The sequence below is a fragment of the Homo sapiens genome, chromosome 8 (genome assembly GCF_000001405.40).
Source record: "Homo sapiens chromosome 8, GRCh38.p14 Primary Assembly".
Classification (NCBI taxonomy): domain Eukaryota; kingdom Metazoa; phylum Chordata; class Mammalia; order Primates; family Hominidae; genus Homo; species Homo sapiens.
In genome coordinates this window covers 17224827-17249127 of record NC_000008.11, presented here as the reverse complement: position 1 = coordinate 17249127, position 24301 = coordinate 17224827, and the positions used below count along the sequence as shown (strand labels likewise).

At 37.8% G+C, this 24301-nt stretch overlaps 2 protein-coding genes across 38 annotated transcripts in view, besides 2 other annotated features; one reads left to right on the top strand and one right to left on the bottom strand.

Annotated features, from left to right (window-relative positions):
• VPS37A (VPS37A subunit of ESCRT-I) overlaps positions 1–2170 on the bottom strand; it is an 86498-nt gene extending 84328 nt beyond the window's left edge. For all 18 annotated transcript variants that reach the window (XR_007060695.1, XR_007060696.1, XR_007060697.1 and 15 more), the window contains exon 1: positions 1759–2170. Coding sequence is in view for 7 of the 18 variants with exons in the window: in NM_001363173.2 (NP_001350102.1) it covers positions 1759–1883 (125 nt within the window). In the remaining 11 variants the exon portion in view is untranslated. The remainder of the gene's footprint in view (positions 1–1758) is intronic.
• Positions 1674–2522: an enhancer, noted in NCBI's record as "H3K27ac hESC enhancer chr8:17104115-17104963 (GRCh37/hg19 assembly coordinates)". NCBI's record gives its function as "activates a minimal SCP1, AML or CMV promoter by ChIP-STARR-seq in naive and primed H9 embryonic stem cells {active_cell/tissue: H9 hESC(naive and primed)}" and the evidence as "EXISTENCE:reporter gene assay evidence [ECO:0000049][PMID:30033119]".
• Positions 2271–24162, top strand: CNOT7 (CCR4-NOT transcription complex subunit 7). Of its 20 annotated transcripts, none has more exons than NM_001322093.2 (8): positions 2271–2453; positions 3881–4092; positions 5943–6136; positions 9337–9402; positions 11755–11916; positions 14268–14412; positions 16591–16701; positions 18280–24162. In NM_001322093.2, exons 2-8 carry the CDS (start codon positions 3976–3978, stop codon positions 18406–18408), a joined length of 924 nt encoding a protein of 307 aa, NP_001309022.1. In that variant the 5' UTR covers positions 2271–2453; positions 3881–3975; the 3' UTR covers positions 18409–24162. The 20 variants fall into 20 exon arrangements, with proteins under 20 accessions (NP_001309022.1, NP_001309024.1, NP_001309025.1 ...); NM_001322095.2 differs by lacking the exon at positions 9337–9402 and adding an exon at positions 5583–5686; NM_001322096.2 differs by lacking the exon at positions 9337–9402 and adding an exon at positions 5506–5686.
• Positions 15493–15995: an enhancer, noted in NCBI's record as "NANOG hESC enhancer chr8:17090642-17091144 (GRCh37/hg19 assembly coordinates)". NCBI's record gives its function as "activates a minimal SCP1, AML or CMV promoter by ChIP-STARR-seq in naive H9 embryonic stem cells {active_cell/tissue: H9 hESC(naive)}" and the evidence as "EXISTENCE:reporter gene assay evidence [ECO:0000049][PMID:30033119]".
• Positions 24163–24301: the final 139 nt, after the last annotated feature.

Sequence of the window (24301 nt, the reverse complement as noted above, 5' to 3'; positions counted from 1 at the left end):
TTGAAAATATTTAACATAATACTACATACTAAGGTTTAAAAGCAATTAATTCCAAAAGTGTGGTTCTAAAAAAGTGTTTCTGCAATAGCAGGACTGGTTTGGTATATAGTCTACCAAGGTAACAACTTCTAAGGGAACAAACATGTTAAAAACGAGTCCCCTTATTTTATAAGCATACCTTGTGAGAGTAGCTCTTAAAGGTCAGTACAGAACATGATTTGGAGTAAGAGTGACTTGTAAGAACTTTGCGAACTTAATTTTCCAGAATGAAAGCCACCAATAACAGCCTGCCATTCTTTTCTGTTAAACAGCATAAAATTTCACCTTTTGAAAGTTCTGAACAAACAGAACAATTGAGACAACGAACCAAGAAACACCTAAAGTTCAGTCAGCATCAGGCCTTATTTTAGCCAAACTGATTTTGCAGTAAATTTTTCTATTAACTAGACTATTTAATTAAAAATTATTCCATTTTAAATAAGAATTATTCGATATTATCTGAGGATACATATTTTTTAACTGTATGAAAATAATATTTTTAAAAGGGCTAGGAGCCCGGCGAGGTGGCTTATTCCTGTAATCCCAGCACTTTGGGAGGCCGAAGCGGGTGGATAATCTAAGGTCAGGAGTTCGAGACCAGCCTGACCAATGTGGTGAAACCCCGTCTCTACTAAAAATACAAAATATTAGCCGCGCATGGTGGCGCGCACCTGTAATCCCAGCTACTCGGAGGGGTGTGGGGAGCTGAGGGAGGATGATTGCTTGAATCCGGGAGACGGAGGTTGCAGTGAACCGAGATCGCGCCACTGCGCTCCAGCCTGGGCAACAGGAGAGCCGTACCCCCGGCAAAAAAAAAAAAAAAAAAAGGGGTTAGGGACTTAACAATGTTGTCATCTTTATTTAAAATAGTGTGAAACTGTTAAGTAAATATACTTGCAAAATGCATAAAATATAAAGAAGCAGTTCTAATTTTTGAAAACCATTAGAGACCATAGACATTTGCAATGTAAAAGGCTGCAGCAAACCAATTTACAGTAAAAGTTGAAATAATATGAATTGTAAAAATATTTCTAAACTGACCATGATAAAATGAAAAACTCACAGGAAGACAACAGAACAATCAAGATGAACATAAAGTAATTCTTGAGCGTGGGGACAAGACTATGAAAGAAGTGAGAAATGTACATGCACTGGTCGCTGTGAGATGGGGAGAGACTGCTCCAACAGGGTAAATCTTAGAGACTCAAGAAGACTGACTACGTGATAAGTGACTCTCAGACGAGAAGCATTCACTGATGAAAACTCTGGCTTCCCTTTCCTTTGATGTTGCAACAGTTCTATTTTCCATTCTTTGTGAAACCTGGAGATTACTCTTCACAATTGTATTTTAACAATTCTGCTGACGCGGCAATCAGGTGGGCAAAGGGAAAGATCAGTGGCGAAGCCTGGGCAGCAAGGGATACTGGAAATAGACTATGAGAGAGATTGAGAGATTACAGTCAGCAGCTATGTGTCAGGAGGGATGAGGAAATCCGAGTTAGAAGCGCTGAGCAGTGGTGCGGCAGGAGGCAGGGAGGGTCCGGAGGAAAACAGTAAAAGGGGGCAGGAGTGGCAGAGCAAGCGTGTGACCCACAACCAAGGGAGGTAAACCACATGAGGAGCTGGTGGGGAGCAGACTGAGGCGCTGTGAGGGTGGTTAGGACAAGCCCGCCCTCCCACCCTACTTTTTCCTCCGGTGGAGAGGCAGCGACCAGTCACCTGGAGTGTGAGTTCCGGAGGGACTCGATCAGGCGCTGCTTCTGCTGCTGGAGGCTGGTGAGGCCACCGGGGGACCCAGCCGCGGAGGAGGAGGCGCTCTTGGTCAGGGGAAAAAGCCAGCTCATCCTCCTCGGGTCCACGGGCCGGAGGCCCTGGAAGGCTCTGGCCTGCTTCTCCCAGTGGCTCGGCCCGGCGGTTCTCCAGCGACAGAGGAGCGGGGTGGGACGTCCGTGGCCCAAGCGCTGGGGACCGCGTCTTCTCTAAGCCTGTCCTGCCTGCGCTCCCCGAGTTCTGGGGGACATGCTACGAACGGCGGGCGGCTGGAGAGGGAAACTTGCGGCCCGGAACAGGAGGTCCCACCTTCACGGCCCAGACGCCCAAACCGGCCAGCCAGGGAGCCTGGCCGCCCAGCGCTCCACCACCCGCGCCGCCGTCACTTGCGTGCCCCGCCCCCGGGGGCGCTCTCCGCCCCCTCTGCGTGTCGCGTCATCATCTAGCGCCCCCGTCAGGACGTGCGAAAAGCGACGGCGCAGCACGGTGCGGCGCAGCTCCTGCTCGCCTTTCCCTTCGCTGGGCGAGAGGTGTCTATGGGGCACCCGCTGCCGCCGCCGCTACCGCCACCGCCACCGCCACCGCCGCCGAGTGCTGTCTCTATGGCGAGGAGGAGGAGGAGGAGCGCGAGCTCAGCGACACAAGTAGATCTTGCATCCGCTGCAGCCTTACGGGGGGAGGGGCGGGTTAGGGAAGTAGAAAGGGGGCGGGGACGATGAACCTGAGAGGGTGCGCGATGGCGCCAGCTGGAGTGCGGCTGGCGGAGGAAGGAGCCTGGCGGCGGGTTGGGGGCTGGGTAACTGGGGCTGGGGGTTTGTCAAGGGGTTGGCGCGTAGTGATGACGCAAAGGCTTTGTACCTGGGGCTTCGCAGTGGGACGGAAATTGGGAGTGGAGGGCGGTGGCCTAGATCCTCACCTCTTCGTATTGTTTCACGCGGCAGTGCTTGGGAGTCAGTGTAGCTCCAGTCAGTGTTATCAGCACCTTCGCACTGGCGCTTTGCCAGGGAAGAGAGTTATCTATGGCTTGAATACCTCGGTGCCGTCCTCTCGTTTCTCTGGGAAACTGCAGTACGGAGATGCTTTCTCCAGTAATGAGAAGGCCTTTGGTGTCTCTTCGGGGCTTCTGGGACTGCAGTAGAGAGAGAGGTGGAGGAAAACAATGTTAGACTACAGGGTCTTTCCAAGTCTTTGTGTTTTTGTGCTTATGTGTGTGTGTGTGCCTATCGGGGTGGGAGAGTTATAAAGGAGGGGTGTCCTGGATCTCCTTTAGTTTCTCTACTTGGAGAATTGGAAGTTACATTTGTGACTCTTCAGAGTTTAGAAGACAGTCATAAGACCCTCTTTTTACTCTTGTTTTTTTTTTTTCCAATTTGTATGAAAAATGCAGAAGGATTTGAAATTTCCCTGCCCAAGAATCAACAGGAACTCTGTTTATAGACCAGAAATGTGACATCTATCTTTGGTAACCATGCAATATGCTCTAAGTTTTAGACGTTCTATTGTGTTCTTTTTCCGTTCTGCAACTGCGAACATTCAGATAATTTTCATGGCCGTTACTTTTTTCTCAGAGCATTTACAAACATTTTTGACCCCTCTAGTCTAGTTAGAATAAACGCCGGTAAAGTAGATCTTGTTATCAAGTCGGATTTTGGTTGTTTTATTAATGAGGAATAAAAATAAACACCATCTTTGCCATGGTAACATCTGATCTTGTCACATGTAAATAAGTAATTTTTCATTTTTTGTCTGGAAATGGATGGCTTTATAAAGTTTTATGCAGAGTAGTTGAACTCAGATAAATAATTAGTGGAAAGTTATAAAATATGATTAGTATGTATGTGTAAAAAAGCTATTTTAAAATAACTGAAATTAGGACCAGGAAATCTGTACTGTAGTCCTTTTTTTCCTATAGACTAGCTGTGTGACCTTAAGTTACTTTCTAAACTTTGATTTTTTTTTTTTATGAGTCAAGAACTTTGAATAAATAACTTCTTAGGTTCCTGCTGGATCAATTATTCTGTGATTCAGATTTGATATATCTGGTCTTCATATTGTTTTTTTATTTTGACAGGTACATAAATAAAGGATAAAATATTTTATGAAACAAATCTTCAATCAAGTATAACATTTTGATGCTTGGCATCTAGACTCCCTTGTGCCCTCACTATGCCAGCGGCAACTGTAGATCATAGCCAAAGAATTTGTGAAGTTTGGGCTTGCAACTTGGATGAAGAGATGAAGAAAATTCGTCAAGTTATCCGAAAATATAATTACGTTGCTATGGTATGCCCACAAGCAGATCTTTAAAACGCTTCATATAAAGGAGGAAAAGGAAATTTTAAAGTCTTGAATTCAACCCTTTTGGTTGATATTTTTAGGGATTAATTTCACCATGAAAAGTAAAATTTGTCACTGCCCTCCAGCCAAAATCCATCAGGAATACACCTGTGATTTGACAGGTTGGGTTTATCCCTCATTGCAGTGAGGGAAAACGCACTGGAATTCATGGGAACCATGGGCCGTTTGAATAAGAGTTAGGAAGGATTTGGGCTCGTGTCAGGTGGTCTTAGGGGAAGGTAAGGGAAGCAGAGCTTTACTGTGGATTGGATGTGTTCGGGAAGCTGGGGTAATTCTGTGATTGGGTATCTTACTAAGTCTTAAATGAGAGACTAGAATGAGGTTAAAGCTGCAGAGAAGGAACAGTCATTCATTTAGCCAGGATGGAGATACTTGGTCATTTTGTGGTTTGACATTTTTATTTTTTTGTCCTTGTTCAGACATGATTACAGAGTGGCCTTATTTGAGGTTGAACTTTTGTGAAATTGTGTTCAACAGGAGAACATTAGGGCGTGGCTATGAGTGCCAGGTCTGCTCCTAGCAACACCAAAGCCTAGCTGGTAGTACCACATGAGCTCCCAGAAGCTAGGGTGCTCTTTCTCAAACAAAAAAATCAGATGTGCCAGTGAAACGTTGTTGGTCTGCAATTTGTTTTCATAATTAACACTGGAGTTCTGTGAATATACTGTGTTACTAAGCAACTCTGCTTTTGCACGTGCTGTTTGGTCTGCCTAGATTGTCTATCCAGTTAATGATTTTTCTTCTTTACCATTATACTGTCTATATCTGTTAGCTACCCTACTGTTTTCTACATCCACTGGATTATTATTAGCTCCATAAACCAAGTGTTTTAATCCTTTCTCTCCCAACACCTAGCATAACACATATAGTATTCAATAAAGTGGCTGTTGAATTGCACTGAATTTAGAGAAATATTGATTTCTTTACTATTTCATAGTGACTTGATAGGTAGTTTTTATTCTTAGCTAGCCCTAGTTTGAATTCTAATACTAAACCGATGTATCTTTGTCTCAGTATTTTTAATAAAAATAAACAAATGCATTACTTTGGGGAGGAGCAAGTTGATTGGTTAAAATATGACTGTTTCTTTGTAGATGACATACTATTTGATAAAGGTGTACTTACCCATGATTAGAACTAAAATTGTTTTCTTAACCAATGGAAATTCATAGTGATCATTGATTTCTCAGATGATAAAGAGTGGCAACATAGAGAAGTGATAACATCCTACAAGAGTGAGTAGGTGGCATGCAATTCTTGACAGCATGCTTTCTGTGGACTATAGAGAGAATATTGTTTAAGCCAGAGAAATTAGGAAGCTAATGATGTTTTTCTTAGGGTTTTGGTGTTGAGAAAAACCTTGTGTCAGAGAAGCAATTGGAAAGTACAGGGCGTTTTCCCCTCTTTTGAACCAGTTCTTCAAGAAACTTGGTTTTAGCATTGGAATACTGTGAGCATCATTTCATGTATCCTTTGGGAGACAGGAATTTATGATTTTCCCCCCTTTCTTGGTTATAGAGTAAGTATTTGGTTAAATTTATCACATGTATCTCGTATAGTAACTTTTTGGATATATTTAAGGAAAGGTTATTAAGTTTATAGAGTTTTATGGTTCTAAAAAGTGATGTTCTTTCTAGTTAAAATATACTTTGTAATTGAATATAAATGTGTAGAATATCATCTGTAGGATTCTTTGATTTGCATCAAAAATTAAAAATGTGTGGATTGTAGTTTTGACTGTTTAGTACATAATGAATCTTAAAACTATTTTACAGGACACCGAGTTTCCAGGTGTGGTTGCAAGACCCATTGGAGAATTCAGGAGCAATGCTGACTATCAATACCAACTATTGCGGTGTAATGTAGACTTGTTAAAGATAATTCAGCTAGGACTGACATTTATGAATGAGCAAGGAGAATACCCTCCAGGAACTTCAACTTGGCAGTTTAATTTTAAATTTAATTTGACGTAAGTGGGAAATAACTGTATAACCCAGACTTTTTTTTTTTTTTCTTTAATCTTAGGAATTGATTTTCCTCAAGTATGGTGACATGCTAGGTGAATTTGGTGTAGTTATCCTGGAAATATATAAAACGTAACATTTCAAAAGCGTGGTTTTCTTTTTTACTATGGGACCAAAAAAAATACTTTGATGTTAAAGATGTTATATTTAAAATATGACTGCAGCTTTTTTTGTATTTGGAAGACTGGGTATTGAAAGTACTTCTGATAGAAAAAATAATCCTACATTAGTTTTACTTTCAAAAATTTTGTGTGCAATTTGAAATATAGCCTTTTATAATATTTATCCTTCTTGTGAAGATTTTTGTTGCATTCATATTCCAGTTTATGAGTAGATTACATGTCAAATGCAGTAAGACGTTTTCTGGAACCTTGGGTACGTTTTCCTTTCAAGTCAGTATTATCATTAGGTTGCCACTTCAGCCCACAAAAGCTCTCTTAATTTACATATAGGAGAAGTAGTAGTATCCTTGAACCTGGTGTTTATCATATGTCAGAATCTTCATTCTAACTCAAGCCCTGGGTCTTCACCCAGTTTCCTTAGTTATAATATTTCTGTATTATTAATAGAAGTAGTCTTGATAGCTAAGGGAAGTTTTAGATGTTTTTAGAGAGGGGCAGATTATTTGCAAACTAAGTTGGGTAAATAAAATAATACATTCTTATTACAGCAGGACCTCAAATGACATTTTCTTCAACATTGTTTCATGGTAACCTTCATAAAAAATAAAATTGATTCCTGACCCGGGCCACTACCTGAGTGGAGTGTGCACGTTCTCGTGTATATGTGGATTTTCTCCCGGGTCCTCTGATTTCCTCCCACATCCCAAGGCTGTGCACGTTAGGTGAAATGGTGTGGCTAAGTTGTCCCAGTGTGAGTGAGTAGGTGTATCTGTGTGAGTGCACTGTGCCACGGAACGACATGCTGACCAGGGTTGGTTCCCACATTGTGCCCTGAGCTGCCAGAATAGGCTCTGGCTTTCTTCACCCCTCAACTGAATAATGGAGCAAATAATTATCTTGTTTTTATTAATTGTTCTTAAATTTACATATAGCTCACATTTATTTCATTGTTTAATATTAGAAGTATTTTGGTCTTTATCTAGAAGTTTGATGATTTTTTTGTGACCAGAAATATGCCGTAGGAACTTAACTCTTGTTTTTATCAATTAGCCTGTGGTAAAAATTGGTTTCGTTATCCATCTTTTGGCTTAAAGTTGCAATTTCCAAGAACTTATTGATAACGTTGAGTGAGTACTTAACTGTATGTTGCAATATTGCATTGTTCTTCTGTTTGACATCCTACATTTGTGTCATACATCCTAATATCTGGTAGGTAAAATAGTGAAAGAAACTGTAGGCAATTAATGGTAGTGCCAATGTATGAATTCTTTCTTCCTGTTCTTTGTCAGATAAACAAAGATATTTAGTATACACAATTTTACGAAAGTAGGGCTTAGGAAAAGCAGAGTAATGATGCCTGTGGTATAGTAGTGTGGCTTGTAATTACACTGTGTTTAGCCTGACTCTCCATTTCACTCTTTTGGGTTTAATAATATACTCTCCATTTGGAGACCAAGGCAGGAGGATTGCTTGAGGCCAGGAGTTCTAGACCAGCCTGGTCAACATAGACTCTGTCTCTACAAAAAAAAAAAAAAAAAATGAAACTAAGCCAGGCATGGTGGCTGTGTACCTGTAGTCCTAGCACTACAGGTACAGGTACAGGTAGCTAGCACTACAGGTACAGGGAGGCTGAACCAAGTGGATTGCTTTAACTGAGGTGTTCAAGGCTATAGTGATCTAGATTGCACCACTGCACTCCAGCCTGGGCAACAGAGTGATACTTTGTCTCTAAAAATACCTGTATCTATACACACACGCACAGTCTACAGAACCTTGTAAAGTAAACTTGTCCAACCCTTGGCCCAGGATGGCTTTGAATGCAGCCCAACAGAAATTCGTAAACTTTCTTAAAACATTATGAGATTTTTTTGTTGTTGTTTAAGTTAGTTTATTTAATGTGTGGCCCAAGACAGTTCTTTGAGTATGGCCCAAGGAAGCCAAAAGATTGAACACCTCATTTATAAAGGGTGCAAAGTACTCCACTCAAACTGAAAACCTTTTATAAGAACTACATCTGTGAAACACTGAAAATTGCCTCCTATCCTTTTTCTCAAATGATAAACCTTTATTAAAATTAGTGCTTTACCATTTCATTTGTTCCATGTTAACTTTTTGTTCAAGTGAATTAGAACATTGTTTTTAAATTAGATACTATTGTGATCTCAGTACGTGAGAAGGAGGTAACCCATCAGCTTCTCAGTTTGGATAAAATTGACAGTTTCCTTTTCTAGAAACACCTTTGTTCGAGTAACAACTGCTTTCTTAGTACAGCCTGTAAGTGACATTTTTTCTTTCTTACTCAAAAATGACTGCTAAAGTTTACTACCAAGTTTTGCTACCATTTACACTAGGGGTGTCTAATCTTTTGGTTTCCCTGGGCCACACTAGAGGAAGAATTGTCTTGGGCCACACATAAAATACACTAATGCTAACAATAGCTGTTGAGCTAAAAAAAAAAAAAATCTCAAAATGTTTTAAGAAAGTTGACAAATTTGTATTGGGCTACATTCACAGCCATGCCGGGCCACATGTGGCCCACTGGCTGCAGGTTGGACAAGCTTGATTTACACTGATGTTAGGAGATGTTTAAGGAGAAGGATACAGTGAAAAACATTAGGTAGAAGAAGTCATTTGGAAGATAAACGAGTAATGCCTAATATAGAGAGAGCACCGTGAAGAGAATCTTGGAAATTTGGAAGAAAGATCAAAATTGACTTTTTAATGGGGTGGCTAGAATGAGTGTCAGTTACAGTGCTAGACACTAGGGATTTAGTACTGAGGAAAGTTGGTCGTGGTCTTTATAACTCAGTGTTTTGTAACTCTTCTGTTTTCTCTCTATTGCCTAAGTCTAAGAATTACAATTGTAACGTATGGGAATTCTCTCCAAACTGAATTTGGAGTTGATACATCCATGAAAATTGAAGTGGAGTACTGATGAGCTGTGAAGAAGAGAAGCATTCTGTGGAAATAATGTCACTGATAAAGAGGATTAAAACAAATTTTTAACAAATTCTCACTTTTAGGCTGGGCGTGGTGGCTCACGCCTGTAATCCCAGCACTTTGGGAGGCCGAGGCGGGCGGATCACAAGGTCAGGAGATCGAGAACATCCTGGCTAACACGGTGAAACCCTGTATCTACTAAAAATACAAAAAAAATTAGCTGGGTGTGGTGGTGAGCACCTGTAGTCCCAGCTACTCGGGAGGCTGAGGCGGGAGAATGGCGTGAACCCAGGAGGTGGAGCTTGCAGTGAGCCGAGATGCCACTGACTCCAGTCTGGGCGACAGAGTGAGACTCCGTCTCAAAAAAGAAAAATCACTTTTGGTGATTGCAGTAATTCAATAGGATAGTAGAAATTACAGGGCACCTTGGGTTTGGTGGTAACAGAAAGGATGCTGATGCTTCATTTAAGGAAAGTGGCAGTGTAAAGAAGGAGATAGAGAGTGCCATAAGAAGGAAGGCTGGATGCAGTAGCCCATTCCTGTAATCCCAGCACTTCGGGAGGCCAGTTGGAAGCCAGGGTGGGCAGATTGTTTGAGCTCAGTTTAAGACCAGTTCGGGCAACATGGCAAAACCCTGTCTACAAAAATAGAAAAATTAGCCAGGCATGGTGGCTCATATCTGTAGTCCCAGCTACTTGGGAGGCTACAAAAGGAGGATTGCTTGAGTCCGGGAGGTCAAGGCTACAGTGAGCCGTGTTCAAGCCACTGCTTCCTGGATGACAGCCAGACCCTGTCTCAAGAAGGGAAAGCAGAATCAACAGAATAGTGGTTTTTATTTTGTTTTACAGATAATACACAGACATATTTGTGTGTTCATGAGTTAGTTAAGGAGTTGTATGTTAGGATAAAGATAGGCACTTGACAAGTCCTTTGAGGAATGGCATGGAATAGCGTCTAAGGCATTGGTAGCAATTAGCTTTGGCGATGAGGCAAGCTGTCTTTGTAGTCTAAGTAAGAAAGATCTTCACATACGTAGATGTAAAGAAAGACAGGAATATTAATCTGATGTTTCTTTGTAAAGCAGGTATGGGGTGAAGCCATATGCTGCAAGTAGACAGGTGAAGGGTGTTATTGGAAACTTAAGAGAAAAAGGTCTAAACTACTTGTATACCTATACCTTGGCAAATGGCCAAGAATGATGTGCACCTGGAGAAGAATCTGTTTTTTATCCCTTTCATTGCTTATAGTTGCTAAGGCATGCCTCAGTGTGAGCACTGGGACCTGATGAATGAGATTCTAATTTTTTGAGGTACATATTTTTAGCATAGGAAAGCTGTGGTTTCACTGGAAAAAAAAAAAAAAAAAGAAACTACTTCATTGGGTTTATTCTGTTACCCTTCCTAAAGGATTTTCCAGGGGAGACTGACTTTTACGTGATTGTTGTGGTTTCCTTCTCTTTTAAAATATTTCCATTGTTTTGTAATTTTTCAGACATTTAGAAATAAATTGATTTCTAAAGGACTAACCATAACGATACTTTTTGGCCCAAGTGAAGTGAACCCCATGGTTTAGATTTGTCAAGTGTTTAATAGGAATTCCTTTTGCCAAGAGGTAGAAACCAGTATTCTTACAATTTAAAAAGTAAATAAAAAAACACTTTTTCACGTATTCTCAAAAATGTATCTGTATTTTGGTAACTTTTTTGTTTTAATATTTCAGATACAGATATATTTTGGAAACTTTTAATATTTCAGATACACATATTTGTGGTTGGAAATATATTTGAGGTTGGAGATGGCTTTCTTTTTGGCTTAAGTGAAATCTTGAAGAATTGGTTTATATTTAGATTTCCTGGCTTGATTTTATAAGGCAGTCTTTTAGGAATAGGATTGTTGGCAGAAGAAATTATTGCTATTACAGTACAGTCCTTTATACAGTGTTGCTTATTGGAGGCATTTGCAAGGCTCATTTGTGAAAGGAGGCATCTCCTTCTTTAAGATGAAGTGTAGTTTAACTCATCCGCATGAGACATTTTCCACTGGGTCTCCTTACTGGTGCTGCTGAGAGCACGGGAGATGGGCATATGCCCCACAGCTATGGCTGCAGCTCCATCTGGGAGCATTACAGTGGCTGCTGAGACTGAGAGTCTCTGAAAAAACTTGTCTGTCACTTTGCGACGGTAGCCCCTGGTGAATAGGAGACCCTTTTCCAAACCCAGTTAAATGTATTTAAGTATGAAAGGCTAATAGAGTTAATAGAAAAAAGATTAAAATTGCACCTTTGGACTCTCTGAATGATTTTTTATTCGAAACACTTTTCTGAAATAATGACCTTTGTATTTAAATTGCATTTTTCTTGCATATATATAAAGCATTGAAACAGGTGGACTCAAGCCATTCCTCTGTCTCTTTTCTGGCACTGTAGTTATAGATGTAAGCAGAAGAACAGCTTGTTTGAAGTAATGGCATGTTTGAATGTTGTCTTTCTCTTTCTTCTGCCAGGGAGGACATGTATGCCCAGGACTCTATAGAGCTACTAACAACATCTGGTATCCAGTTTAAAAAACATGAGGAGGAAGGAATTGAAACCCAGTACTTTGCAGAACTTCTTATGACTTCTGGAGTGGTCCTCTGTGAAGGGGTCAAATGGTTGTCATTTCATAGGTAAAACGACTACATTGAAAATGGCATTTGTTTTTCCATCTCATACTTGCTCCACACTTACTTGGGTCACTATGTTAGCAATTTCAGGTTTAATTCTGGAAAGAGTTGACTGCCATATAGAGTTGTCTCCTAACTCTTAGGAGGCTAATGTTGGTCTGCTTAAAGGTTAATTTAAAATATGGGATCCATTTTTGCCTGTGAGAAGCATGTTGCATAGTGGAAACAGTACAGGTTCTCTAAAAAGTGAAAGACCCTGGTTTAAATCCAGCGGCGCCATTTGGAATTGGTGTTACCCAGGGTTTTCTTTTACTATTTCTACACCTTAGTTTTTAATGTTCTACGGGGGAAACCATTCACTTACATTTACACAACGTTATTGAGTATTTACCATATGGCAGGCACTGAGATGAGATTCTAGGAACTAAGGTGTGAATAAAACAGATGAAAATTATTTTCCTCATGGAGTTTATATTCTCATGGGGGTGGGCAGACAGTTTTTAAAAATGGAGTTCACGTTGTGATTTGTTAGATAGTGATAAGTACTATCTCAAAACAGCAAAGAAAATGCTAGGGATGGGTGTGGAGATGGATTTTAATTTTTTTTTAAAGTGATAAGGCATCCCTTAGAAGAAATAGCTTGAAGACTTGTTTTAATGGTCACCAAAATACTTTATAAACAGTAAATTCTCAATAAGTGGTGGTTCTAAATTCTTTATTGTTATGAAACTAGATTATTTAAGAGTGTTTCTGGTAAGGAAACTATTCCGATTTTGTGAAATAGACTTCCAGGTATGAAAAAGAGTTTTCCCATCTAAGTAAACTAAACTGACGTTCCAGGGACTAAAAGTAACCTTCAGAATGATATTGGCTTTTGTTAGGTTTTGAAAAAGCATTGTGTTACATAGATGTTAATACTCTCATACTTGGTCCACTTCACACATGTATCTTAAATCTGAGTCTCCTGCATGTTTAGTTTCTGTCTCTGATCTGTGGGATGTTTATAGTGAAGGACTGTTCATGTGGGCAACTTTGATGTGTACTAACCAGAAATGGTTGAGTTGTAGGTACTGAACACACTCATTCTTACCTATCATCTTTTTTGTCTCTTCTGCACTTGAACTTGTACCTTAGGAAACATAACTTAAGACTCTTGATACAAATACCTTTTTTTTAGTCATTTTTCTTCCCTAGATATGAAGGTGCAAAAGAACTGGAAAGTATTGCCCTTCCCTTTTACTGTATATGACATACCCTTTCATTTAAAAAATACTCTGACAAAATACAGTGCACTAGGCACTGGGTATTAAGATGAACAAAAACAAACAGGGTTCATTCATGTCTTCTTGGAGTTTAGAATCTAAGTTAGACTGATATATTTGAATATTTATCAAGATAGAAGATTTTATTCCATTAAATATCATTAGTTGTTTTCCTCATATTCTAATTTCAAGTAATGAAGAATAGTTTAAGAAGTTTATAAATCCTAAGCGCTAATATAATCTTTTAATGTTAGTGAGCAAATGTCATATAGGCTTCCTGTTAGAGGTCCTTGGAAGGAAAGGTAGACAAGGGACGGACGTGTCTAAGTGGCCTGGGAGTGTAGGGAGACAGAAAGCTGTGCGAAAGGCCGGACAAAGGGAGAAGAGTTCTGGATTTGAGAGTGTAGGAGTTTGCATTTTATGATCAAGAGAGTAGTTATTTTTTTACTACCCTTCACTTCTTCCATGTGCAGCATTTCCATTAATAATGACTCTTAGGGAGCCACACTGAAAGGAAGAGAATTGTGAAGGAAGAAAAGGGAGAGACTACTTAACACAGTCATTTAAGAGAAGTGAAAATACCTTGTTACAGTCTTATTCTTTGGATAAAGTATATGACCACCTTATGTAAAAGTGGGATGACTTGCATTACTTTTGTCTACCGAATGCCAGTTCTCTTGCTACCTTTGCTAACTCTTCTGGCCAAGTTTCCATTCATCTTTATTTCTCCATTTCCATAGTTACTTTAAAAAATATTTTGAGACATCTGTGGGCAGCTTGATACTCTTCTTGGTGTTCTCTATTCAGATATCAACAAAATAGTATTTTATTGACCATAGGCTGGTTTGGTAGTGTAGGTCTGTGTTGATATCTCTGAATAATAAAGTGATAAAGTTCTTAATACTGTAAGATGACGACATTTTCTCATAGTTCTCAATATGTTTGTTTTCTCTGTTCTTGTGTGCACTTCTCTTTAATGTTTTTGGGAGGGCTCTAGTGTGACTTGCTTAAATTTGAATCAGAAAAACTTTTTTTTTTAATCTTTATAGTATTTATATGTCCCTCTTCTCTATTCTTTTAACCCTTTTATAGCGGTTACGACTTTGGCTACTTAATCAAAATCCTAACCAACTCTAACTTGCCTGAAGAAGAACTTGACTTCTTTGAGATCCTTCGATTGTTTTTTCCTGTCATTTATGATGTGAAGTACCTCATGAAGAGCTGCAAAAATCTCAAAGTAAGGCTTCGGATGGCATTATCTACAGCAGCACACTGTTCAGACCAAGTGACTGTCATGCGAGCCTAGGCTGGGATGTTGTTTTAAACCATATTTTAAAGTATTACAGTGAATGCAATTATATTATCTGGTCATGTGATTTTTTTTCTTGCATACATAATTTGTAGGGAATCCTTTTTTCAGAGCTTCAGTATGTCTTGGCAGAAGGCAGAATTTTCAACACATTTCAGGCTTAGGTCCGGTTCTTGTCACTGCTTGCCAGATTGAAAATCACAAACCAAAACACAAATCTGAGGACATTGAGGCTCTCATATGCACGCCATTGTGAGTTGTTACTTTCTCCCAAGACGCATAGAATCTGTTCTTACAAGGTGGAATCTAAGGTGGCCAGCGATATGCAGATGTATTTAGTAGTGTGGCAAAAGTTTTTCTTTCCTTTTGGCTTATCTTGGCTAGAAATTATTTTGTCAGTTCTAGTGATAGGATAATGCTCCTAGGATTAAACTATATAGCTAAAAGATTTTTCTGTGGCCAAAAGATGTCAGCTTGTTACAGTTAAGTACTATGGGAAATGTGTAGGTCCTGCCTAGATAGTAGTAACATTTTGACGCTGCATAACATGTATTTTTAAATTCTAAACATTAATTCTTTTTTTGTTTTTGAGACGGAGCCTTGCTCTTGTCGCCCAGGCTGGAGTGCAGTGGCGTGGTCTCGGCTCACTGCAACCTCCGCCTCCCGGGTTCAAGTGATTCTCCTGCCTCAGCCTCCTGTGTAGCTGGAATTAACAGGTGTCCATCACCACACCCAGCTAAATTTCGTATTTTTAGTAGAGTCGGGGTTTTACCGTGTTGGTCACGCTGGTCTTAACAGATAACTGAAGATGAGAAGCTTTCTTTTGGCCAGTGTTTACCTTTAATACATGATATGGTCAGCATATGACTAGAGAAATTTTCAAGAAAGATTATTTTATGTTTGTAGCAGTAGACTTCTGTGTAATTTGAGGGGACTTCCAGGAAGTGAACTTGCAGTAGGGTATCCCTTGCTTGAGAAATTCAGCCCACCCTGTGAAAGCACTGCATGCTGAGGCCTACATGTTTTCATCTGACTTTTTTTTTAATTGACATGTCTGTATAATGATAGTTTTCAGGAACAGGGAACCAAATTATTGCTCATCATGTGGTTGTTACTGGGAAGTTTCTAAGTACAGATATTCTGAATGTGTCCTGAGTAAGCTGCTGTGTTAAAATTCAGGTTAACGACAAAGGTGCTTTTTGACCTATAGTCAGCCATGCTGTTCTATTCAGTTCTAGTTCTGTTCTCCTAAGCAGCTGCTAACGATACCTAATCCTCGTGCTATTTTTAGCGCAGAAGCAACTGCTGTGCAAAGCCTTGTTTCAAGCTGTGATGCACAGAAGGGCCATTTTGCCGGTGGAGGCCTTAACAAGTTAGAGAAGAATTTTTGTTTTGTTGTTGGTGTTTCTTTCCTTCACGCTCTACTTATTCTCCCCTCCCTTTACTCTCCTTGCCTGTCCTCCCACTTTCTTTCCTTCTGTTACTGTCTTTCTCTTTCTTTCTTTCCACTCTTTCCACTCTCATCTTTCTTTTTTAATCTTAGGAGTATTAACATAGGTGGATTATAGCAGACCACTCTAAGGAGTTGTGTGCATATACTCGTCTTAACTAAGAAAACCATAGTGAAGCATTTAGCATACTCTTAATGATTATTCATAATGGCTTTGTTTTGTAAAAATTAAGTGAAAACTACAAATGGATGGTGGGAAGTTTAAGAAAATATGAAAAAAATGGTGTTATACTAGCTTTTCAGTTTTATAATTATTACTGGATTGATAGACTATGAGTGTACTTGATAAATATTACCCTATATGTGGTCTGCTTCCTTCCCATATCTAGGAGAGTATTTACCTGTCATATGCCCTAAAACATGATGAAAATACATTTTCCCAATTAGGATCTTGTTTTCTATTAAATGATACTTTTTCCGCATTCAACAAATACATTAGTAATTCACATTCTCTGTTTCTTCCCCCCAATCTTTATAAGATTCACCTTTACATACTAAAGTTTATTTTTATTTTGGTCAGCGTCTAAGTTTATAATTTGTGAATTTAGGCCTTGTAAGATTTTTCTTCTTGACAAGCAATTTTTTATTTTTTCTAGGGTGGATTACAGGAGGTGGCAGAACAGTTAGAGCTGGAACGGATAGGACCACAACATCAGGCAGGATCTGATTCATTGCTCACAGGAATGGCCTTTTTCAAAATGAGAGAAGTATGAAGACATCACTGCCTTTTTCTCAGTTGGTTGTTAGGTTGAGAACATTAAAAATCTTGTGGCCAAAGATTTTGGGCAACAAGTACCTACTAAGTAAAGATATAATTAGAGATACCATATGAGTCACATCCACCACACTTAAAAGTATTCAAAAATAAGTCATCTTGAAATGTAGTTCAGAAGGAACTGGGAGAACATGTTCATCATAGAACCAACAATTTTAAAACATAAACTACCTGAGAAGTCATGTAGGTCCAACCATATTATTTCTCAGGTGAGAAAACAGGCTAATAACTTCCATGATTAAACACATTACTAGTGGGAGAACTCCAGAGTTCTTTTCTGACTCCCATTGGTGCTCCTCCTACAAGGCAAGGAATCTTTATATTAGGTTTATTCTAGCATGACCCCTTTTAAGGTTTAAACTGGTGATAAATATATTATTTGCTCATGTCATTCTTCAGTGCTTTGAAGATTTTATAGAGAAGAACTCAGGCTCTTTTACTGCATTGAGTCTTAAAAGGGGGGTTGAATTCCGAAGGGATCAAATAAATCCAACGTAGTAGTTGCATCAGAAACCATATTAGGAAAACCCTCCTTAAACGGCAAAAGGCAGAGATCAGTTCCTTGAGTATAAAGTGTTAGGGATGGAAGAATGAAACTAAATGAACCCATTATCTACTCCTAAGTAATTAAGTGATGTGCACAGATACACCTAGCTATAGGTAAACAGGAAAATTGGTTGTGCAAAAAACAAGTGAGGTTTTTCTTGACTATAAGTTTTCCCTTTTGGAAAAATTCGCTGTGGATTTGAGTATATTTTCTCTTAGACATTAAATTGAGACTGAGAATTTAAAACTTTTTGTAGCAATGTATTGATAATAGAAAGCATTAAAGCTGTTTTGCTAAGTAGTGTTGTTGATTCAGAAGTGATTTGGACTATCCATTCATGACACGTAAATATTTTGTTTTGGACTCCTTCCAATTGTTTCATTAGATAATTGAAACAACCTTTTGGATTTTTTAGCTTTGCATTTTAAAAATGTCTTAATGGTTTATTTAACTAAAGGTGGATTTCTGGCACTAATTTATCTTTATTTTTCTTGGCTTCTTCAAGGACAGTAATAGAGTGTGAATGTTTGGATTTTACTGTCCATGACTTTATGGTTTGATCATTTATAGCCAGCTCAGCCTTGCATACAGATTTAAGACAGTTTATGAACCTAAACTTTTTTTCCCCCACCATCATTGGCTTTCTTCATTCTTGAGTATTGTTAAATTAATGGAATAGTTATTTTTCCATGATGAAAAATTCTTATAAAAATGGTCTAAATGGAAAAGACATGCATTTATACACTTTTTTTGTAGTCTCTTTCTTTGGTTTCTGAGCTCTGTACTTTTGAGGACATTAGTCTTACTCATTGAACTGAAATGCGTAGCCTCAAAGGAACACCATAGAAAAGAGCCATCATTATTGTCAGTGAACAGTCAGTACTTACATTGCTGAAATATAAATTACAAGTGGTTCCTTTTGGTTAAAATTATCTTTTTTTTTTCTTCAAAATTCCTTTTTAGATGTTCTTTGAAGATCATATTGATGATGCCAAATATTGTGGTCATTTGTATGGCCTTGGTTCTGGTTCATCCTATGTACAGAATGGCACAGGGAATGCATATGAAGAGGAAGCCAACAAGCAGTCATGACATGAAATAGTCCTTTTATTTTTATTTCGAGCTACACACATGCTTGTATATAGGTTTTATCTCTGGTTGAATCCCTCGAACAATAGACAGTACCTTTCCCCCCCCTTTCATGGCCCATTTTATTGTCTGCCTTTCAGTACTAAGTATGACCGTTCCTATCTCAGATCTTAATAAAAAGAAAAAAAAAAACGCATTCAGGTTAAATTTGGCCTTAATTTAATATACTTGTTAGCAAGCGTGTGTGACAGAGAGTGGGGAAAGCTACATCATTGAATATTTTGATAAACTTTACCGACTTGAGTTTGGTTTATTTTTCCCTTTTCCTAAATTAACTAGCACTGACTGTAATTTATTTCCCTGTTTCACGTCTCTCCCTTCCATTCTGCAGGAGTTTTAGCTATTTGAGATCGTGGACCATCAGTTTTGCACTTTAGAGAGTGTTTCTGACTCTAAACCTGTTTTATCAGAAAATTTGTTTTTTCTTGATCTTAGCTGGAAAAATCTGCCAACTTTACACAGTATTTACTTGGTTTTGACCCACAGAATATAGCACGTTGTGCAAACTGTCGATTCAGCGAAACTTAAAAAAGACAAGAAACTACTGAGGAGCTTAGTAACTGCTGTTTCTGTACGTAGTGTTTAATCTTCCAAGCACATCTAGTGTCTGTCAGTTTCTAATTGGCATGTGTAGGCTGCTCTGTGACTGAAGAATTTTCAAACCAGCTTTACACCCTTCAGGAAAAATCCCTTGTGATTGGATGTTTACTATCTGCCAGGAAACTGGTACTCAAGATGTTGAAGCTACAGTTATTTTATGATAGCACACTTCCCTTGATCTGCTTATTTTTATTCCATCACCATTTACCCTTTTTTTTTTTTTAAATTTTGTAGCCATTCTTATGATGCTCTTGATTTGTTGGTTACACAAATCAATTTTATTAAAAATCCAAAGATAAGTCTTTAGGTATATTTTGTACCAAATTAAATTAGAAGACAAAAATTGTGCTTTCATAGTTGCTACAAAGGTAAATAATGGAGAGATTTGGTACAAAACAACAAAATATATATATATTCTCATATATATATATATAGCTGATAAAATTACCTGAGGAGTGTAATGCTTATTTTTTTGTGTATATCTTTGCAATCTATTTTATATATATTGACAAAAGAGACTGTGAAATACTTAGCCATGCAGAATATGTGACCAGACCAGAGCATGTGTAGGAAGACTTTACGGTAATCATTAACTCTACCCCGAAATGATGGACTACAAGTTATAATGTGTGTTACCTACACTTCAATCAGTAATATTAGCAAATCTCCAAATGTTAGTCACATTGGTTTGTCTCCCTTGTACATTCTTTATTCATGATATTACAGTGCTGTAACTGGGTGGTCCTTTTTAAACAAAACATTATTTGCAAAACAGAGGGTATTATTTGTTTTTAAAGCTTTTGTAAATAAAGGCTTCAAAATGTTTTCTTATAAATGTTGATGACTGGTGATTTTCTTTTGGAAATACTTATTTGGGGGATATTGTTCATTTTTATTTGGGCAACTCAACAGAATTCAGTAACTTCCTTCATTAACCCTAGATGATTATTAGTCCATTAATTGAAAAATCAGTCTGAGTTTTCTGCATTTCAAGTGTTGGCTTATTCTTGTTCTTTATGAGTACCTCAACTAGCTAATTAAGGACTGACTTCTGTTTCTCCTTTCCAGGAATGCATTTATTCCGAAGGATATACTTCACAAAGTAAATACATTTGGTATAACTGTGGCTTTTTAAAAAATCTAACACAATGTAGTAAGTTTCTAACTGGCTTCTTTTGTCTTCGTTAAAAAGGAAGTGAAGCTTCTTTTCGCTTGTGATTTGTTAGCTGAGAAAACTAATATTTAAATTCTGTTCAACTATTTGAGAAATCAATGCTGGATTTCAAATAGGAATGATAAAGATTGCCTTTTTATTAGCCACATAGTTGCTCAATCTCATAACTTGTATCATTTCTGGCTTCTGTCCCTAAAAAGTATAGATAATCCCTAACTTACTTTCGACTTAATGATTTTTCAACTTTACAGTGGGTGTATTGAGAGGTAACCCCATCAAAAGTTTAGGAGCGCCTTAGGACCAAAGATGGGGTTATAGTTTCTACTGAATGTGTATTGCTTTTGCACCATTGCAAAGTCAAAATTTATAACTTGAACCATCGTAAATTGGGGGACTGTATGCTGTTGCCTGCATTAAATGCATCTTAGTATTTTTTCAGATGTAACCTCATTGTAGGTTGAGCAACCGTATAGTGTAACTTTTGTAGAGGAACATTTTGACTTTTACTGGGTCTAAGTTTTACTTTTTTATTTTGTTCCAGACAGTCTCAATGTTTGTAAAGTCTAGGTTCCAGATGTAAGATATTTGGCTGATATTTTAGTGTTACTGAGCCATTAATTAATTACAGGCTCATATATTCTGTTAAATCTACTAGAGCAAGGGTTGTCAAACTATGGCCCGTAGCCAGAATCAGCTTGCTGCCTGTTTTTGTGTGGCCCATGAACTGAAAATGGCTTTTAAATGGTTGGGAAAAATAATCAAAAGATTATTTCCTGACATCTGAAAATTACATGAAATTCAAATTTTAGTGTCTATAAGTTTTTATTGGAATGCAGCCACACTAATTTACATATTATCTATGGATACTTTTTTGCTATAATGGGAAAGTTGAGTAGCTGCTACAGAACCTGTGTATGTGTGTCTTGTTTCACATTGCCGCTTGGCAAGCTACAGAATCATGGTGATGCAGATATTACCTGAAAGCATTTGGAATGCCCTGTGTATTGCTAGATTTATTACTTTTTCTGCTACCAGTTCATGCCCTGTATCTCAGAACAAGAAAAGTACCTTTGAATGTTACACTTTCAAGGCACATTGGAATATGGACTATTTTATTATATGCTGGTACATTGTGTTTATAATGCAGTGTCACCATAACTGGTAAAAGAATAGACTGACAGTATCAGACTAACATCACAATATTCCCAACTGGTGGGAAAGCAACAGTCAGAAGAATTAGAAAATTTAAATGAAACATCACAGCAAAATTTCACAAAAGTAATAAAAATGAGGCTGCAACCAAAATGTTTACAAGTAGCCTATTTGTTAGCCAAGCAAAGAAAACCATTTACTAATGCTGAATTACATCGTGCTTGAAGATAGTAACCAACCCAAAGACATGTGTCCAGAGAAAATTAAGACATCAGCCCTTTGATGAGAACAGTAGTTTGAAGAATGAGGATTTTGGACACAACATCAAATGACACTGTTAATTCTTTGCCTCTTACTAGTCAGTACTGCCTAGCTTTATTTTTTGAGAAACCATTGCTGGATTTGAAGTGATCGAAGAATTTGTATGGAACTACAAGTGGGAATATTTTCAAAAAAGTTGATAAACAGTACAACCTGAAGTGGAATCTACTAAGATGTGATGCAACCGATGCTGGGAAAAATGCATGAAGCAGAAAAAAAGTTTATTTGGTCAAATTTTAAGGCTTGTGAAAACGTAAGTTGTTTAAAGCCTGTAGTTACTCACTTGATTATTCATCAGCAGGTACTTCACAGGAAATATTGGTGTTACTGAACTGGTCAACAGTTAACTTCATTTGCTCTTGTGGACTTAACCATCTTCAGTTCCATGATTTTTTTTTTTTTGTGAGAAACAGAAGCTGAATATCCTGATTTGATTTGCCACACAGGCGTTCAATGGCTTAGCAGTGCTAAAGATTTATTTTTATTTTTTTGGGCTCTGGGCTGACATTGAAATTTTTCTGAATGAGAAAAACCATCCTCAACCACTGTTTTTTAACACTGAGTAACTTTGGAAATTAACTTTTGCCACAGACTTGAAAATGTTTCTTAATGAATTTGACCTGAAATTACAAGGTACAACAACATAATATGGTAAATTCATTTCAATAAAAACTAAAACTTAAGATTGTCAAGCTGCTTTATATACTTTCTGTGCTATGAGAAGTCAAAACAGCGCTGTATTGCCAAATCCATTTTTAGTGGATATATTTTCCTGTAGCAGTTTTTTGGACCTTGATGCAGTGCAAAGAAAATTTTTAAATTTTAAAAGCATTTAACTGCAATTAAATGCTTTTAAAGTTTCCTCTTAATCTTCTGTTGGAAATGAATCATCTTGAATGAATGACATGCTAAAGGGCAAATACCAAAAAGATGAATCCTACAAATGCCTTACAAGTGATGAATATGCTTAACTAAAATCACATGCTCATGGGTGGATGTGTCAGTATTTAGCAGTACCTTGACCTGTTTGTGTGAAAAGACATTTTCAAAGATGAAATACGTGAAATCCCATTACACATCAGCATTAACAGATTAACATTTTCTATTTATTCCAATGAGGGGATACCAACTTTCAGCCCAAATTGAGCAAAATGTTACCTCCCGTCCCCTGCCAAAAAATCCCATTATTCCCATTAGTAGAACTCTATTACTAAAAAAAGAAAAAAAAATTGTACTCAATATTTTGAGTTTTCAATTTTTAGAATAAAAATTTGGTGAAAAGTTTCCTTGAGTACCTAAATAATGTCCTTCATTTTGTCTTAGCTTGCAAAGCCTCTAATATTTGCTACCTGCCCTTTTCAAAAAAAAAAAAAAAAAAAAAAAAAAGGCTTGTCCACCTCTCTACTAGAAGAAACTCAAGGGTCTATGTCTGTCCTGTTTGCTATTTCATCTGCATTGCCAAATGCAGTGGCTCCTCTGGGTAGGCAACCTGAGGTGGAATCAAATTATGAATGCATATGTTATCTCATGTCTATAAAATAAATGTGTTAGAATTTATAAATAAAGGGATAGGAAAAATGCTGATTATTCTGTGTGTCGGTGCTTTGTAGTGAAGGCCAGTTCACACATGCCATTTGCTATGTTGGTGTAATTTATATGAGAGTTTCTTTTATAACAACGTTACCTGTCATTTATTTTTCTATTAAGACATTATAGAAACGTAGGACTGTACACATCCAAATCCTGCAGAATTTTCATTTCAGGTTTTGAAAGTTAAAAAAATGTCACCATAGAATGAAAATTCCAAGAAAACAAGATTCATGTACATTATCACTAGACAATTTCCATTTGTTTTAAACAGTTTTCTACAGCATTAGTTACATTTAACGTTTAGTATAAAAGCAATTGAGCAATTTCTCTTTAGAAGTCCATTTCATTGCTTTGTAGCCATAGTCTGTAGGTGAATGAACAAGCTACATTTCTCCAGAATTACTCATTTTCTTTTTAAAGATAAACTGGTCAATACTCTCCTTCCTGGTATGGAGGAATTTTTTGTATATGAGAAGCATTCATGAATATAATCTGCCCTCTTGCTTTATTGTCATAGGAGGGGAAATTCACTGCTTTCACACCCTTCTGTTTTGGCTCTTTCTCCCAAAAGATAAGAATCTTTATTTAGTATCATACCAAGAAATTGGAGTTCCTTTAGCTTCAGACTATCATCATGGCTTCCAAATTGTTAGGAAATACAAGTTTGCAAGACCCCAAGGGGACTTAATATTTTACATCTTACTAGCCATGTCATAGGTTTTAAGTGCTTTTAATGGGGAACTGTTTCACTCATGCCATATACCTGTTTTGTTTTTCTAAAAAATTAATACTGTAAGTTGTGAGCAGGTGTCTTGTATCACTGCGAAACCCATGCATAATAAAAACTTGTTCTTGAGCTATATGTGTGTATACAGACTTTCCTTCCATTCATTGTAGCCATTCTGGGGCTGTCCTCTACTTCTTGCCTAAGTATATGTTTTTTAAATAACTTTAGCACATTTGCATGCTACTCCAAGATGAGTTTATAATTAAGGTTGC